The 18,077-nt window shown below is 41.2% G+C and overlaps 1 protein-coding gene across 1 annotated transcript in view, besides 1 other annotated feature; it reads right to left on the bottom strand.

Moving 5' to 3' along the window:
• Positions 1-12,115, bottom strand: part of SERPINB5 (serpin family B member 5) — a 28,128-nt gene extending 16,013 nt beyond the window's left edge. The window contains exons 1-3 of the mRNA NM_002639.5: positions 12,028-12,115; positions 4,477-4,651; positions 1,990-2,127 (exon numbers count right to left, since the gene is read on the bottom strand). Of these exons, the coding sequence (NP_002630.2) occupies positions 1,990-2,127; positions 4,477-4,644 (306 nt within the window). The 5' untranslated portion in view covers positions 4,645-4,651; positions 12,028-12,115. The remainder of the gene's footprint in view (positions 1-1,989; positions 2,128-4,476; positions 4,652-12,027) is intronic.
• Positions 12,167-13,366: an enhancer, noted in NCBI's record as "CDK7 strongly-dependent group 2 enhancer chr18:61142940-61144139 (GRCh37/hg19 assembly coordinates)". NCBI's record gives its function as "activates an origin of replication core promoter dependent on BRD2, BRD4, P300/CBP, MED14 and CDK7 cofactors, with strong dependence on CDK7, by STARR-seq in HCT116 cells {active_cell/tissue: HCT116}" and the evidence as "EXISTENCE:reporter gene assay evidence [ECO:0000049][PMID:35650434]".

The following is an 18,077-nucleotide window of genomic DNA, read 5'->3' as shown; positions in this document are numbered from 1 at the left end:
CTTATGGGTTGTAATTTCAGAAACATGAAAATTTTGTATGTCTACAGATACATATATATTAGAATATAGGAAATGTATAGAAAACAGAATTATGAGCAGAAAACTCTTGTCTTTGCTGAACTAAATATCCTGTAGACCCTTGCTACTCAAACTGTGGTCCAAGGTGGTGTACAGCATCACCTGAGACCTTGTTAGAAATAAAGAATCTCAGACCCCACCCCAGACATACTGAATCAGAATGCATTTTAACAAAATTTCCAGGTGTGCCATCTGCAAATTAAGGTTGGAAACACAATGCAGGAGAGAACATAACAGGAGTTCTTATTCTAATGCTTATTTAAAATGTGCAACCCTAAACCCCATTCCCACCTTGACAATCAGAACTACCTGGGTTTAATCAGAACTACCTGGGTTCAATCAGAACTACCTGGGTGTTAAAAGGGCCTGAAGAACTTGCCCTTTTAACACCCAGATAGTTCTTATGCAAGAGATCCTCCACAGAGCACACTTGTTTGGACCTTTAACTAGTAAATTTGCAGATGCTGTGCACCTAGCAGGAGCAATGGAAAGCAGTCTTTTAAAAAATCTTTTGTAATGAGCCGAGATCATGCCGCTGCACCCCAGCCTGGGCAACAGAGAAAGACTCCATCTCCAAGGAAAAAAACAAAACAAAACTTTACAACTCCTAGTCTGGTTAAGATCATTCCAGATGTTGCATGGAAGTTCAGTGAAACTAAATATAACTTGATTCAGTGTCATGTCAGTTCACTTCCAAGCACAGGGCTTCTTGAATTTCTTCAGAGCAGCTTCAGCCTTAGCCAATTAACTTAGCTTCAGTTAATTGCAAATCAACCTTGGGACTCACTGTCACCATTGACTGACAGAACCAATCTCACCTGAAAACATTAGAAAGCCTCAGCCAGATGAAGGAGGGCCTCCATTGTCCTCACTGCCAGCAATAAAAATGTGTTAATTGTCTCTTTAATGATCATTTAGGGAGCTTCTAGAAATGTTGTATGCTCAGGCTTCAACTCACATCTCAGTTTTTTTTTTTAAATTCTTCAGATGATTGTTGGAAGAAAAATGGTTGTGTGTATGTATCTTTAAGCAACAAAAAATATACTCACAATATCTAGTAACCCATGTCCTCAAAAGATCTTAACCACAAAAATACCTACTGCAGAAAGTTGCAAAATCATGGTAAAATATTTAAAAGCTGGTAGTCTAGCTTTTCGATTTGGAAACCTTGAAATTCTGACCATCCAAACAGGAACTAAATCAACTCTGTGTTACTGAAGTACAGAGGGAAACTTCATGTAGTCTAGAATATTGTCTGTGTGTTTCAAATACAGATTTTTAAATATTACAACAATGGGTACCGTAGTGGTGTTTGTATGATTCCTTAGAGCAATGGCTAAACTTATATAACCAGAGCTGCCTGTGGAGATCCCCATCTGACCAGCCCAGCCAACAAAACTAATTTGTGACTGATGAAAATTGTGAATTCATAGTTATTATTTTTCTTACTGATTTTGAGAAACATCAGAAGAATGTGTGCATAAAAAATGAGGTGGAGAGCTTAAAACATTGTCCCAGGCCATATGCCCTGCTCTTTAAGGAGAAAGAAGTTTAAATCATTAGCTGTCTTACACTCTGTAAGACAGCTCATTGTCTATGGAGCTACATTTATTAGAGAGTTAATTACTCTGTTCTCCATTCTCTCAGAGGAAGGTAAAAGAAAGGGTAAGATTTATTTGAGAGAGAAAAGGAAAGCCCATAAGCTTCTCTGTATTTTGAGTTAGAAGATGTGACTGCAATTGATTCCCACTATACTCAACCTCTCCACTAGGATTTATTTATTTAAAGCCTCAAATCACAAGTGAACATCCTAGAAAGGAATTTCACTGAAAAAAAGTTGTAGGTCTAACAGCATGAAAATGCCACTCCTTGTAAAAAGTTAAGTCTTGCTACTTGCTTTAAACAACTTACTGTAGAAAGATTCAGAGATTTGTCTACGTAGAGCCGCTTGATTAGTTTCAGTGAGTAAAAGGAACTAAGTTTGTTTACATCCGATGTTACTGTTTGAAATCCAAAGGGTACATCTTTGACATTTTCAAAATGAAGAACCTGTTAAGAGAAAAATCCGTTACCCAAAAAGCATTGCCTCTGAGTAGTGCTGTACTGAAGTGGACACGTGATAATGACCAACGTCCTTGGGCATACAGACTCCTCCTGCCTAGTTCCCGTAAAGTAAGGCTCCTCAACCTCAGCACTATTGACATTCAGGCTGGATGAGTCTTTGTGGGGCTGTCCTGGGCACTGCAGGATGCTTAGCAGCATCGCTGACCTACTAGATGCCAGTGGCATCCTCCTCCTATTTGTGAGAACCCAGAATGTCTCCAGACATTGCCAGATTATCCCAGAGTGGGAAGGGGAGGACAAATTGTCCCCACTGAGAAACACTACCATAAAGGTACTCTTCCAAATCAACCATCGAGAACATTTGTCCTTTCTTCAAAGTGATGCCCTTAATACTCACACAGAAGGATTTCCAAACTTGGAGAACGATGAAGCTGGGTTATAATTTCTATCCAATTCAAAGACCAGAGAGAGAGATTGATACAAGAGACACCATCATCAGGCAGGAATCAGATTTCAGGACAAGTGCCTCTAGCCAGAGTCTGTCTAGTCCCTCTGGGTGCTTTAGCAAATGCCAGGTAAATAGATGTGTCATTTCTGATGGGCAGCTACAATAAATGGTGGGCTGCCCTGGGCTGGCTAGAGTCAGATGGCCCTGCCTGTGAATCCCAGCCTTCACCACCTCTTCTCCAACTCTTCAGAGAATCTTCTCCAACTCTTCAGAGCCTCCTTTCCTCTCCGTAAAATGGGCTGAAAATACCTGCTTTCCTGAGTTGTTAATGAGGATTACTTATATGTAAAACACGTAAAATATTATATGGATTCAAACTGTTAATTATTCTTGTAATAATATTGTAAGCCATTTAAAACCAGGATACTATCATTTGGAGGGCTTAAATCATTGTATTTTTTTCCTTTTTTTTTTTTATTGTTCCAACCAATAGTCCAGCATCTTTTCTGCCTTGCAACACCACAACATGTAATGTCAGCATAAGATGACACCCTCCTCGCTCCATAACTCATAATGGCCATGCTGTGATTCCACAACCCAGATAACGAACGCTGCCAAACCGGCACATTGTCCCAATGAATTACATAGCCTCAGCATTGCAGGGTCAAATGCTGGTCCCAGACAGTGCATAACTCTCATGCCTAAAGATGGATGAAGGAGACCAGAAAATTTAAGAGCCCAGGTAACTACTGCTGGGGAACCAGTTGCATATACTGAGAAGAGCTTGAGGAATTACTGAGGAACAGACCCACTACCCGGAAGTTCTCTTTCGCTGGCCTTTCTCTAATGGTAGATGAGAAATGAGGAATGGGAGATTGGGTAGGGATAGTGGAGTTGCGCAGTTCAGAGATGTGGCTTGATGTCAAGATACATCTCCTCTTCACAGGAGTGAAGCTGCTTCAAGTCCCAAGTGTAAATTCTTCATCCTTACCTAAATAACTCTTATGGGCCATACTTTCTGGACACATATGAATACAAGAAGGTGTTGCCTTTTTAAATGCTTATGAGCTAATAGAAAAGAAATTCTATTGAACCTAGAATGATTAGCATAAGAGTAATAATGAAATAGAATTAGAAGAACATTCACCTATTATGTAAAAGTACATGAGGACTTAAAACGGAACAATCAGGAAAATTGTCTCATTTGAAGGTCTAAGAACTTTACAAAGCTAGATAATCAACCATAGCCAGAAAGAAACCCTAAAACGATACAGATGCTGCTTGATTTATGATGAGGTTACATCTCAATAAAACCATTGTAAATTGAAAATATTATAAGTCAGAATGAAAAAGCTGTGATTACCCAGCAGATCTCCAGGTTCTCCATCACAGCCTGGTGCCTGTCCCAGATGTGAGTTGCATTACCTACAAGCGAGCTTTCACATTTAAAAATAAATTAAGATGCCTGTAATCCCAGCATTTTGGGAGGCCGAGGCAGGCGGATCACCTGAAGTCAGGAGTTCGAGACCAGCCTGGCCACATGGTGAAACCCTGTCTCTACTAAAAATACAAAAATTTGCCTGGCGTTGTGGCACGCGCCTGTCATCCCAGCTACTCGGCAGGCTGAGGCACAACAATCGCTTGAACCTGGAGGCTGCAGTGAGCCAACATCGCACCACTGCACTCCAGCATGGGTGACAGAGTGGGACCCTGTCTCACAAAAAAAAAAAAAAAAAAAAAAGATTAAGAGAGTCCTGGAATGGCACAGTTCTGAATCTTGACCAATTCTGGCCACAAAGTCTACATTCCTTTTTTCCGTAGGCACTGCCTATGGGTTCTAATAACTGTATTCCCACTTAAAGTAGAAACAAGGTTTTGGGGCTTACCTGTCCAATTTCATTTGCAGTGTCACCTTTAGCACCCACTTGAGCAAGTGACAGAGAGGTGGAGAGACAGATTGGAGAGAAGAGGACATTGCCCAGTGGCTCCTTTTCACATAGTTGTTTGAACAGATCAACGGCAAAAGCCGAATTTGCTAGTTGCAGGGCATCCATTGCGGGCCTGGAAGCAAGGACAAGGGAGCAGTTAGTTTCTAAAGCATCTTTAACGTCTTCTCAACTGCATTCTGCCAACACTATAAGAATTCTATTTAAACAAAGTAATTGATCTCAGAAGAAACAAGGAACTTTCTGTAAATTCAAAAGTAAGATCAGTTGTGAAGAAACTTCCAGGCAAATGTCTGAAGGCATGTGAGGTCCTCTGTGTGTCCAGCTCTGCCTAGACTCTGCAGTCTTGGGCCTGCTCAGCCACAGTGGCCATTGTCGGGAGCCCAGTGGTCACATCTCTTCTCCAGCATATGTCAGAAAAGTTGACAGCACTAATCAACATCAGTTGGTTTTATTTATCACATATTGTTTCCATTAGGATTTCAGTTAAACTACAAAGTTAAAACTTTTATAAAACAAAAACAGTCGAATTGCAGCAGTTTTGCATTGTTCAGTTTAATATTTAGTAAGTGTAATGGGTTGAATTGTGTCCCCCAAAAAGATATGTTAAGTCCTAATCCCCATTACCTGTGAATGTGACCTTACGTGGAAACAGGGTATGTCCTATTTCTTAACTAATATATAATTAGTTAAGATGAAGTTACATTGGAGTTAGGTGAGCCCTAATCCGATATGACTGGTGTCCTTAAAGGAATAAGAGGAGAGACACAGAAACAGACATACACAGAGGGAAGATGTGAAGACACAAATGTCTTCACCTGTGTGAAGGGCATGCCGTATGGCAATGGAGGCAGAGATTGGAGGGATGCTTCCACAAGCCAAAGAATGCTAAGAACTGCTGGCAACACCAGAAACCAAGAGAAAGTCATGGAACATTCTCCCCTGGAGCCTTTTGAGACAGCATGACCCTGCCGACATCGTCATTTCAAAGTACTGGCCTCCAAGCCTGTGGGTGAATAAAGCTTCTGTTGCTTTAAGCTGCCTGGTTTGTGGTGCTTTGTGAGAAGTGCTAGAAAACCCTTAAAGTAACTAATGCCTTTGCAGGACACCCAGCACATAACAATACTTAATAAACAGCAGCGGTTATTGTTTGCGTTTATAATACGCATCTGTGTGTAAGACACTACCCAGAGTGTTACAAGGATCAGTGGACCTCCTCCTTCTCTAAGCTCATAGTCTCTTTGGGCAGATATGCAGACAAATAACTAGAATACAGAGCTGCCCAAGACATGTGAGTGGTATAATAAGTAATATGGGAGTTAAAGAAAAGAGGGAACAGTTTCAAAATATGTAGCCTGGTAAAGTGGATATAGCAGCAACTAGGCATCTTGTCACATCTCAGAGCTCTTTAATTTTAACACAGCAACTTCCAAAGTGTTGTGTCTTGACTCCTGGCAGTCCCTAACACCCTTTCAGGAGGTCCATGAGGTTAAAACTATTCTCATGATAATACTAAGACATTATCATTCTCAATCTCTAATAGACAGCGGAGTTTTCCAGAGGCTATATGACATCCCTTCTATTAAGCCAAATATTAAGGAGATTTGCAAAAATGAAAAACAATATCACTCTTCTCATTACATTTTTTCACTTTAGAAAATGTTTTTTAATATATATATTATTCATATTAGTATTTAATTATTATATTATTTTAATAAATTAGTAAATGAACATTTCAAAATGTGTCTGGTTTTCATTTCTAGTTTGGTAAATAGTGATAGATATAATCTACATTTTTTTTAAAGAAACAGTTCTTTGGGGTCCTCGGTAATTTTTAAGAGTGTAACAGGGTCCTCAGATTTAAAAAGCTTCACTGTTCTAATAAAGGTCTACCTACCTATTTAGTCTGGTAGTTACTGATCGACTCCAAAGACAATTAGGTAAATTCAGGCAGTCAGGGCTTCCCTTTCTGGGAGCAGAGCTGAACTACATGAACTCCTGAGGTTCTGCCTAAGCCAGGACAGCATGTTTCTAAGGGAAATGAATTGATATTACTACCCCGGGGTGAGCAGTACAGGGATTAAACTCGAAGTGTTCCCCCAAAGCCTCAGGCGCACACACACAGACACAAGGGCCGAATGTGACATTGAAGGTCTTCAGGTAGGACATGCACCCTGGCATTAGAAAGTAAGCTCCACTGCTTAAGATAGAGGACTCCCTTTGGCCAGTACCCAAACGTGTGTCAAGAGTCAAAGGCATGATGAATAGGATTGCAATTTGCACCTTATACCTGGACACAAATTCAGAATGCAAAGACGAGAATAAGATGGAGGAGAGGACTCCTGGTCTTTAAACATTTCTTCAGAATTCTCCCTTTTATGGGATATATGGCTTGTGTGTAGGATGGACTTAAATCGATTATATCTCAGAGTCTGAAAAAGCGAGTTCATTATCCAAAAATAATGTTTTATTGACTCTGTTCATGCTCACTGGTCATTTCCATGGGCTTCCTCCTTCTCCATATGTCCCTGATAAGTACAGCCATGCGCTCAGGCCAGTTCCCATTGCAAATATACCACGAGGCCCCCTGAAGTCAGGTGGGCCTCTCACTTTTCTTTAAAGCCCACAACCTTACTCCTTCTCCCCTCAGGGCAGGGGCAAGGGCCTACAGGTGACATCACACCCCAGGGAAAGGTGACTGGCATTAGGTGTATACTGAGGTCAGCAGGGTATACTGAGGCAAAAATGAAAGCCTGTTGAGTGTTTCACCCAGTGTGCCTGCCACTGGGAAAACATAAAGAAACTCTTCACAAAAGGTTTGGGGAATCTGTGGACAGACTTTCAGAATAGGAAACCTGGCTTCCTTCCACAGCACATTTAATATTAGTAATGCCAAGTTCATCTACAAGTAAAACTCAACATGTACAAGAAGTAATGAGTTATTTCTTCACCAAATAGAGAAGCCTAAACCCAGATCCCTGAAAGCTTCTTAACACTTCCACCAGTGGAGAGCTAATCGCACTGATAATAATATGAAAACACACAAACTGCTTTAACAAACACAAGTAGCTCCTCCAAGCACGTATTTATTATCCTCCAAGAGAAACTAGAATAATTTTGCATAGTCAATAACAAACTATACTTTTAGTGATTTCCTTTGTATAGAAAGATGGTGTTTAAGATCTTAATGTGCTGAGGGAGTTTGGCTGCAAACACCTACAAATGGATCTTAGGAGTGGATCAAATGGTGAGGAGATGTTCATTTTACCATTTTATTTCACTAAAGCATTATTCATTCACTTGTCACAACATTTTGAGATACATTTAGTCTAAATGATTGTGGATACAAGATCATTGTGGCTTTTAGTGTAGTTAATTACACAATACAATTAATGCTGTGTTGCAATTCAAGGCTTAGATCCAGGTCCCTGTTGGAGATGTAAATCAGTGCACATCTGACATCCTAACATCTCTGGGGCTTTCTCTCACCATTGGCGGACCTTCCCTTTGAGTGAGTCCCTTCCTTTGCATGCTAATCCTCAGTGCATGAACGCAAAGAGATCTGCCTTCCTGTTCCTATGCTGACTGGCTCCTTTCTCAGAAAATTCTCCTTCATGTCTGGGAAGGTCATACAGCCCTTAGTATCTGGGGTCCCAGTGGCAAGAGCATTGTTTGATGCTGGCTAAAGGAAACAGAAAAGGTCTGTACATGGAAAAGGTTGTAGTTGCAAAAAATCACCCACTAAGTAATCAATCAAATACTGCCCGGTAAATCTGATCAGTGGCTCTGTGATTAGTCCCAAGTGACCTAAAAACACTATAAAGTTGATCTGGTCTGAGGTAGCTCAAAAGATGACTTTGGCCACAGTTGCCACATGACTGTGTTGCAAGACAATCAAAGCATTTAAACAAACCTCAGCAATGTTAACAATACATGACCTGGAAAAAATACAAACTTCCTACACAGACCATTTTGCATGATCAAATGCTATAAAATTGCAAGTACCAGAGTAGAGATTAGCAATTCCTATATAATAAATTTAATGTGCCTAATGACTTCTGTTGAAAGTGCTAAAATTGCTACAAATTTTTTTTCATTCTGTTGCCTTGTCACAAGGGTCTTCTTCCATTTCTGTGAAAACCCTGTAACCATTTTAACAAGGAGAACTTCGTTTATAGTTGCAATGTAGAAAACGCTACATCTTTCAGCACTTAAAAGTTTAAAAGGAACTTTATTTTAACCATAGGAAAGTGAGATAGATGGAAGTTCAAGCAGTAATACAAATGCAGTTTTAAGAACTTATTTCCAAGTACCTTGCTTTCGCAATCTGTGCAAATTATAAACCTTGAAAGTGGGACAAGATCTTGGAGAGGATCTAGGCTGGCCACACCTCTTCATTTTACAGATGAGGAAAATGAGGCAGACAAAGATGAAGTGAGTCTCCCAGGCCACCCACGCAGGGAGTGAGAGTGGCAAAACCAGACCTAGAATTCATTGCTTCTAGCTCCCAGCCTGGCACTTCCCCGCCACACCTGATCACCTGCTTTCTTGTTAATTGCATCTTTGCTGGCATTTGTTCTCTCAGAAGTCTCTCGAGTTCCAAAAATCCTGCATGTCCTGAAGTCTCCCCTTGAAGATATCAACATATCCTGCATGGTTTGTTCAATCGACACAAAACTTCTTCCCTATGATTTTCCTACTTGAAGAAGCCCTTGTTCCCTTTCTGCCACTTATGTTGTAAACTCTTGGTATGATGTTGCTTTCATCTAGTAAGTATTAACTGAGTACCTAATTTGTGTCAGGGTAAGCATTAAGAAAAGGTGAAAACGACATAGCCCCTGCCTCCAAGGAGCTGTCAGTTAGTGGTATGATGACTGTTTTAAGTGTTTTGATGAGCACCCAAGTCACTATGGGATCCCCAGGAGTGACAGACCCCCCATACTAGAAACCTCAGTGACACCTCCTCAGAGACAGTGACAACTGAGTAAGTCACATTAAAGGTGAGTCCTACAGGATAAGTAGGAGTTAGCCTTGCAAAAACGTGGGACAGGGAGAACTGACTCAATTCAGAGAGGCCCCAGTGAATGGAGACGCATGTACTGGGCTGGGGGTAGGGCCGTGCTCACTTCTCTAGACTTATAGCTTGTCACTGGTCTTTGTATGAAGATTTCCTAAGTTTTTTATGCATCTGAGCCAATGGTCCTCACATTTTTTGTCTTTAGACCATTTAGGTGAGAAAAAAGTCCTGTGGGTAGGATATATACATCCCACTTTGCCTGGGACAATCCTGGTTTATGTCTGTTGTCTTGACATTGATAACAGTGCCCCGTTTACTCTCAAACATATCCTGATTTGAACAATATATGTTCATTTTACTTATAGACCATCAACCACACTCTTCACCCACACATCACGGGCGTGCATATTTAAACAGAGCTATGAGTATAGTTTTTTCATCCCTTAAAACCTTAACTTTTGGCCGGGTACAGTGGCTCACACCTGTAATCCCAGCACTTTGGGAGGCCAAGGCGGGCAGATCACTTGAGGTCAGGAGTTCGAGACCAGCCTGGCCAACATGGTGAAACCCTGTGTCTACCAAAAATATAGAAATTAGCCGGGCGTGGTGGCACGTGCCTGTCATCCCAGCTACTTGGGAGGCTGAGACAGAAAAATCACTTGAACCTGGGAGGGTGAGGTTGCGGTGAGCCAAGATCGTGCCACTGCACTCCATCCTGGGTGACAAAGCAAGACTCCATCTCAAGAAAAAAAAAAAAAAAACTACGTTTTTACTGTGTCAGAGTATCGTAGATATCATTTAGCCTGGCCTGCCTCATTTTAAAGATGGAAAGACATGGTGAAAAACATCTCTCAAGTATTTGGTATAACCAGTCCTTAGGGAATGCCATGAGAAACCTTGCCTATTATAATATCAGTAATGGAATGCCAAAAAACACAACCTCTGTTGTCCACATTCTAAGTCTTTGAGGAGCAAAGGATGTGCAGGATTAAGAAAATAGGATATTTTGAAGTTTCTGCAATGTGAAAGACTATGAGGACTAAACGAAGTGATTAAGTGAATCAATGTATATGAAAAGTGCTTTGTGGGCAAGAAAGTACAATACAGCTATTAGTAATTGCTTTAATTTCCCATGGCAGGGGGGCGTCTGCTTTGCTCTGAAGCATCATAGCTGCTCCTGTCTCTTTAGAAGCCTGATCTTGACCACTGACCCAGCCCACTGTTGCCAAGCAGTAAACTTACAGCCAGACTCAGCCACACCAGAATGGCCCAAATCGCTGAGACTGCATAGCCCCAAAGTCAATCCACAACCCAGAGGGATTGAAGTGGCACAATTCAAGGCGTTAGGAAGCAAAGATATAAACCTGCTGACTCATTTCCTTTGGAGACTCCTTTCCTCAGACAGGCTTCATCTCCACCCATGAAGGAACTCATCGAACACTTACACTAACTGACAGGGACTGAGGTTTGGAACCCATTATCGAAAACCTCCCGGGAGATGTAGGGGATGAAAAAGATGGTAACAGAACCCACGGTGTTGTGGAAACATCCCGAGCTGCAAGTGTGAAGGCCTGATTTGATCTCAGCGGTGCTACTTACAAGCTGTGTGCCTTTGGACACCAGATCACCTCTGTGAGTTCTGCTCCTCATCTACAGAATGAGGGGGCTGGGCTGAAATATGTCTAAGAGCCCCCAGCTCTGAGGATCTGGTTACAAGTCTCTGGAATAGCCTGGCATGTTGGTTTTTAGTATGATATGCTTAAATGAAGCCATAAGAAAAAGTGTACAGCATATGAGTAAGAAACTACAAGCAGCTATTACAATTTATAAGTCCAAGAATATGCATCTGAAATGTGTAACTTGTTTAAAGTTATGCTGAAACCCAGAAAACTGAAGGGAGAATAATTTCCGCTTAGAAGAATGCAGTTGCAAGTAGATGAACAGCGATCTGATGCTTAAAAATGCCAAAAAGAAGGGCAGTCCATATGCCTAAATCTCAGCCTTACAACGTCAGCCAGGGAGAAGAGCCAGCCAGACCCACCAATACTTCTCAACTTTCCCCAGTTTGCGGGTACCACACCCTTTCTGAAACTAGCATTGCAAAATTCATTCTGAGTTCCAAAGTAGGCCTGAAAATGTCCTCAGAAGTATTTTCTCCTCCGTGAATCACGGTTGCACCCCTCTACCACCAAAACCTCCGAGCCACGTGACTTCTTCATATTCTTACCTTGTATGGTTAAGTGATTTTACTCCCTCTGCAGTGTTCCTGGTGCTCAAAGGGTTGGGAGCTGGAAATACTGCCAACATGGGGGATGAGAGGCGACAGTACTCAACCCAACAGCCCGTCTTTGAAAACAGCCCCAAAATGGACCTAAGTCCATTTTGTTCACCATCTCAAATCAGCTCAAATAACGATATTTATGAATTTCCCTGAAAAAAGGAAGTCACCAGCCCTGCTACCCCACCTTGCTTACCTGGAGTCACAGTTATCCTGGAAAATGCGTGGAAAAGGAACAGGCAAGCGAGGAGCACAAAGACCTGGATGTGGAGGCGACCGTGTCTGGGCAGAAGCAGCGGTGGCTCACCTGGGCAGCACCGCCACGCCCACTGCCAGCCCAGCTCCACGCCCCGCCCCGCCCCGCCTCGGCGGCACTCCTCTCCTACTCAAGCCTCTTGGCAGCTTGTCCACAATTGAAAGAAATGATTCAGGCTGAAGTTACTGTTGTCTGCACAGCTTCCAAAAGGCCTCCAACATGTTCGGGCAGGAAGGGGCTGTGAGTTACATGCATACGTACAGACATGCGTACGGCAATCCTCTCGGCCCACGCAGGACCGGAAGGTGAAATATTCGATGAAATAAAAGTAATGTGTGATGATAGTAACACTACAAATTTCTCAGACACGTTGGTGGCACAAAAAGTACTCTGATCTCCATTCTTTTTGTGTAAACTGCAGCAGCTCATTCTGCTAGATGCCAAGAGAGGTAGCTGCCCATTAAACAGAAAGACAATCAAAAAAGAAGGAATGGATATATGTATAAACACAGTGCCTACCTAAAAATTAGGTACTATTAGCAAAATATTTACTACCAAATTGGTAGGAGATATTGTTTAATGGGTGGCGCAGGAAGTTTCTTTTTAAAATCCTGTGATTAGGATTACTCAGGCCTGGCGCGGTGGCTCACGCCTGTAATCCCAGCATTTGGGGAGGTTGACGTGAGCGGATTGCTTGAGCCCAGGAGTTTGAGACCAACCTGGGCAACATGGTGAGACCCCATCTCTACAAAAAATGTAAAACAATAGCCTAGTGTGGTGATGCATGCCTGTGGTCCCAGTTACTTGGAAAGCTGAGACGAGAGGATCACTTGAGCCTGGGAGGTCAAAGCTGCAGTGAGCCGTGAGCTAACCACTGTACTTCAGCCTGGGTGACAGAGCAAAAGAAACAAAAAGAAAAAGGAGTACGCAGCTCTGCTCTGAAATCTCTTCGTGGAGCCTGTTCTTGTCCTCCTGTCTTCCCACAGCTTCTTCATTTGGCGGGACCTACTCCCTTCCAGCCGAATCAGTCTCAGGAAAGGACCTGAAACGGAGCTGGTTGCTTCTCTGCTGTGCTTATCTAGAATTCCCTATTGTACATTTACTACATTGTTTCATAATAATCTCTTACATTCTCCTATATGTGACTACAACAATGTTAAAGGTAAGTGCCAAACTTCATTCATTTTTATAACACCAAAGCTTGGTACAGACCTGATGTACAGTATGCAGTCAATAAGTGCTTGTTGAGTAATGAATAAGAGCAACTCGCTATATTAACTGACTAAACTAAGATTGATAACAGCTTCCCCTCCCCCATGTCCTGGGTATTTTAATGTTAACCAGAATCAAAGTCATAAACTAAGTGAACTCCAAAAACAGAATTTTAGGCATCAGTGGAGCAAGTGGAGGGAAGGTCATAGGTGAGGAGGTGTGGAAGGATGCTTCTTAAAAATTCTATTATCCAGCTGTAGGAGGGAAAATGAGAATTTGGGAGCAGAGTCATAAATTTGCAAACTAAGTCTAACCACTCATTGCTTGAGAAATCCTGAGCAAATTGCTTAATCCCTTTATCTTCAGATTCCTCATCTGTAAAATGAGATCTATATATAGTTCTCATTTGTCAATAAGATCGATAAAATGAGATATAGACAGAGATGGATGAAGAGACAATTCTTACATACTTTCTGACACATAGCATGTGCTTCCTAATGATGGCAATTAGTACCACTTTGCCCATTGGTTAGGTAGGCTCGGGGAATAGTGGACAAAAGACTGGAGCATGTTATTGACATTGAATTCACCACATTTATTGAATACCTGCTTCGTGCTTGCTACTGTGGTCTACAGATTTCAAGCGACTTGCATTTAAATGGTAGAGCCTCTCTATTCTCCTTTTTGAAGTTTTAATTCCCTCTAAAACACTCCTGTTCAGTGCTTGCTCAACCGGGGCAGAAACATTTCCAATGACAGGAATTCAACAATACCCAAGGAAGTTCTAGCAAAGTGAAATGCCTTTGGGTGATTCTAACTGGGTGAAAATTAGAGGCACCATTCGACTGGGGCTATAAGACATGTTCCCTCTCCCCAAAGGGTACAGTAGGAAGACAAGAAACAAAAGAAAGTATCTGGAGGCATGTAATAAGGGACTTAAGAGAGGTGCAAATGACAAAAGTAGTTCAGAGATGGGTGTGACCTTTTCAGTCTGGCTATGACTGGGGAAGGATCATGGAGGCAGCATCATTGGACATCAGGAGACCATTTAAGCCTGAGAACGGAGGTCCAGAGCTGGGATGATACAAGGTATATTGGACAGATATGTTAACAAAAGATTAAACAGAACATTTCCTGTCAAAAGCTTTCACTTGTTGAAGTATCTCTGGAGGTCAGACCCTGTACGTGAATGTTCTCACCCTCTCATTGAACCCAAGTAAGGCAAGGACTCACAAGTCTCAGGTGTAACATCATTGACAAAACACACTGTTGATTTAGGCAAAATTGCAGGAAAAAAAAAAGTGGTTCCCATTCAGTGGAAAGAGTATTAAAACTGTGATTCTATTTGACTGAGAAGACCCATTTCCCAGTAATATTCTTTTCCACGGCAGCCAAAATTTTAAGTTCTTTAGAATTCTACCTAAAAAGACACTAGAAAACAGAAAAGTGGGAGAGGATGGAGTTATACAAGCAGTTCACATTTTTTAAATTACAGAATTTCAAACTAGTTTCTGGAGAACATGCCTGCTGATTAATTTTAGGAAAGAGTGGCCTCAATAAAGTCTTCTGCATTCAATAGGTTTCTACTCTGCTTCCCTGTTTTAACTGGACATTTTGATTGGAGTCTGTGATTGACTGAATAAGCATTTTTTGAGTGTGTCAGACCCTGGGCAAGACCCAGAATAAGACCTAACTATGGATCTCAAGCCGACTACAGTTTAGCTTTGCATTTCTATAAGTCAGATACCTACACTAATTGTTATACTGTAAAAAAAAAAAAAAAAAAAAAAAAAAAACATACATCCTGAAGGAAATGCCTGGAAAGAACAAAGTTGTCATGTCAATTATGTTAACAAGTGGACTTAGAAGCATCAGACTTATAAGAAAAAAGGTTCTACTCATACTAATAACTCAGAGAGCAACAACATAAAAATAACAATATGGTGTTATTATCCTGTTATAATCTTCAGTCTCTTGCCTCATGAAAAGCTTTTTATGTGGGCCCATGAATAGTCAACTCCAGAGTATTTTTGATCTCCCTTCTTCTTGATGAACTTTGAACCTATAAGAAGCAGATATAAGGCCAGATTTTATAGTTTTCTATATGATATACTATACAATTCACTTATTATGTTTACTGTTGATGGCCTCCTTCAGCTGAAATCTAAGCAGATTTTTTTGGTCTGTTTTTTTCACTGATGTAGTCCAAGAACTTAGAATAGTATCTGGCACATAGTGGGTACTTAGCACATAGTGGGTAGAGAATGAATGAGTGGGAAATAACCCTACCCGACAGGAATTCAACTAAGGATGAATTCAACCCAAAATTTGAAGTCAGTTTGACATTTCCTTAAATACCAGCTACCTTTCCTCCAGTTCTCTTTGTATATGAAGACCAGTACATCTGATTCATCCCAAACACTTTACATTTGTAAAATAAATGATTCTTTTTTTTTTTTTTTTTTTTTTTTTTTTTTTTTTTTTTTTGAGACGGAGTCTCGCTCTGTCGCCCAGGCTGGAGTGCAGTGGCACGATCTCGGCTCACTGCAAGCTCCACCTCCTGGGTTCATGCCATTCTCCTGCCTCAGCCTCCCAAGTAGCTGGGACTACAGGCGCCCGCCACCATGCCCAGCTAATTTTTTTTTTATTTTATTTTTTAGTAGAGACGGGGTTTCACCTTGTTAGCCAGGATGATCTTGATCTCCTGACCTTGTGACCCACCTGCCTCAGACTCCCAAAGTGCTGGGATTACAGGCGTAAGCCACCGCACCCAACCAAATAAATGATTTATTTAAAAAAATTTAGTGACAAAGAATACACCTGTTTGTAGGAAAAAGCATTTGCTCTATAATTTCAAAAATAATCCATAATGTTTTCCCCTCTCTTTATTTGCCACAAAAACCATTTTATTGACTATATATTTAAAAGAGTAGATTTTTTGGAGGGGAGATACATAGCTCAAAGAATGAATTATTCATTCATTCATTATACAATTGTATGAAGCAATAACTTCCTCTAGTTCAACACAAGTAATCATTGGACTAAATATTTAATAACCTAGGAGACTGTTTTGTTGGTGCTTTTTCTTACCTATAGGTTGAAGCTTTGCAAATATTATACTTGATTACTCAGCATCGAGGCTGAGGGATGATTTGACACACCCAGCCACTCCCAGGAACAAATGAAAGGAGCTTTGTTCTAGCATGTGCCTCTCGCTTTCTCTCTCTCTCTCTCTCTCTGTCTCGCTCTCGCTCTCACTCAATCTCTCTCTTTTCCTAAGAGAAGTTTCAGCCACAAATTCTCAGCATTCTCCCCGGATTCCTACAAATCATCAAGTGATTTTTTTCTTCACTAATAAAGGTGATTCCCACTAATTCACATGATGCCTCTCCCATACAATAGTGGAATCATATTAGCTGTCCACGTTTCCAGCCATTCACAGTTGACTATAAAGGATCCTAACTAGTCACTGTGGACTATTATGTCTTTTCACTTGTGGAGAAACTGAGTCAGGGAAGATAAAGTGACTGCTTTAAAGTTTCTGACTGAGATGGAAAAAAAACTATTTTAAAAGCCCCAGATTTATAATTCTTTTTCCTAACTACTCTATTTTGAGGATTTATTTCATACTTTTTGTCTTTTCAACTTCTGGTGTTTGTCTAGAAGAAATTTTATATTAAATGATAAACTGTACTATATTACAGAAAACAGGCTGTGTGAAATTTTCTAAGAAGCAAACTTAAGAGAAAAAAAAAAAGACCACAGTGAAAAAAAATAGAGTTAAACAGGACCCCAGAGTTAAACCAAAACCAGATAGTAGAAGTGGCACAATTTGCCTCTAAAATGCTTCGTTAACCAGGCGCGGTGGCTCACACCTGTAATTCTAACACTTTGGAAGGCCAACACAGGAGGATCACTTGTGTTCAGAGTCTGAGACCAGCCTGGGCAACACAGCAACACACAGTCTCTATTAAAAATATATATGAATAAATAAAATGCTTAATACTATGCGTAAAGGCATATCTGAGCAAAAAATTGAGTGACAAATCCCTTAGGCCACTGCACTCCAACGTAGGTGACAAGAGCGAAATTCCGTCTCAAAAAAAAATTATTTTATATATTTTCTTCAAGTCCTCTAAATATCTAATTTGCTAATACAAAATTAAGCAACCCTTAAGTGCTTTATAACAAGAAGCAGAAGCTCCTAATTTCTACTGGCTTATTGCAACCTCTGCCTTCCGGGTTCAAGGGATTCTCCTGCCTCAGTCTCCCAAGTAGCTGGGACTACAGGCATGTGCCACCATGCCCAGCTAATTTTTGTATTTTTAGTAGAGACGGGGTTTTGCCATGTTAGCCAGGCTGGTCTCAAACTCCTGACCTCAGGTGATCCGCCCGGCTGGGGCTCCCAAAGTGCTGGGATTGCAGGTGTGAGCCATCGCGCCTGGCCTAAACAATTTTAATAATAGTTATTTCTGGCTGGCAAAATTAAAGATTATTTTTCCATATCCTTGGCATATCTTGCAAATTTTCAACAATCACCATATATCATTTCTTATGATTAAAAAGTTGCATTTCTTAAGCAGTGGAAATTCCAGAGCATCTTTGTGAGGCATAAGACCTCTCAGCTGCACAACAGAAGCTGACGTCGTCCTGAGATGAGCACGTCATCTTGGCACACCACCCCTACCGCCACCCACACCCCAGGTGAGCCGGGTTGAGGAGAGCCCAAGCCCGGGGCTCTGGGGTGCTCAGGAGCACCTCCGAGAGTGTCAGCCCCC

This window comes from Homo sapiens, chromosome 18 (genome assembly GCF_000001405.40).
Source record: "Homo sapiens chromosome 18, GRCh38.p14 Primary Assembly".
In the NCBI taxonomy this organism is placed as follows: Eukaryota; Metazoa; Chordata; class Mammalia; order Primates; family Hominidae; genus Homo; species Homo sapiens.
The sequence above is the reverse complement of the archived record's forward strand: the minus strand, read 5'-3'. Positions and strand labels throughout refer to the sequence as shown.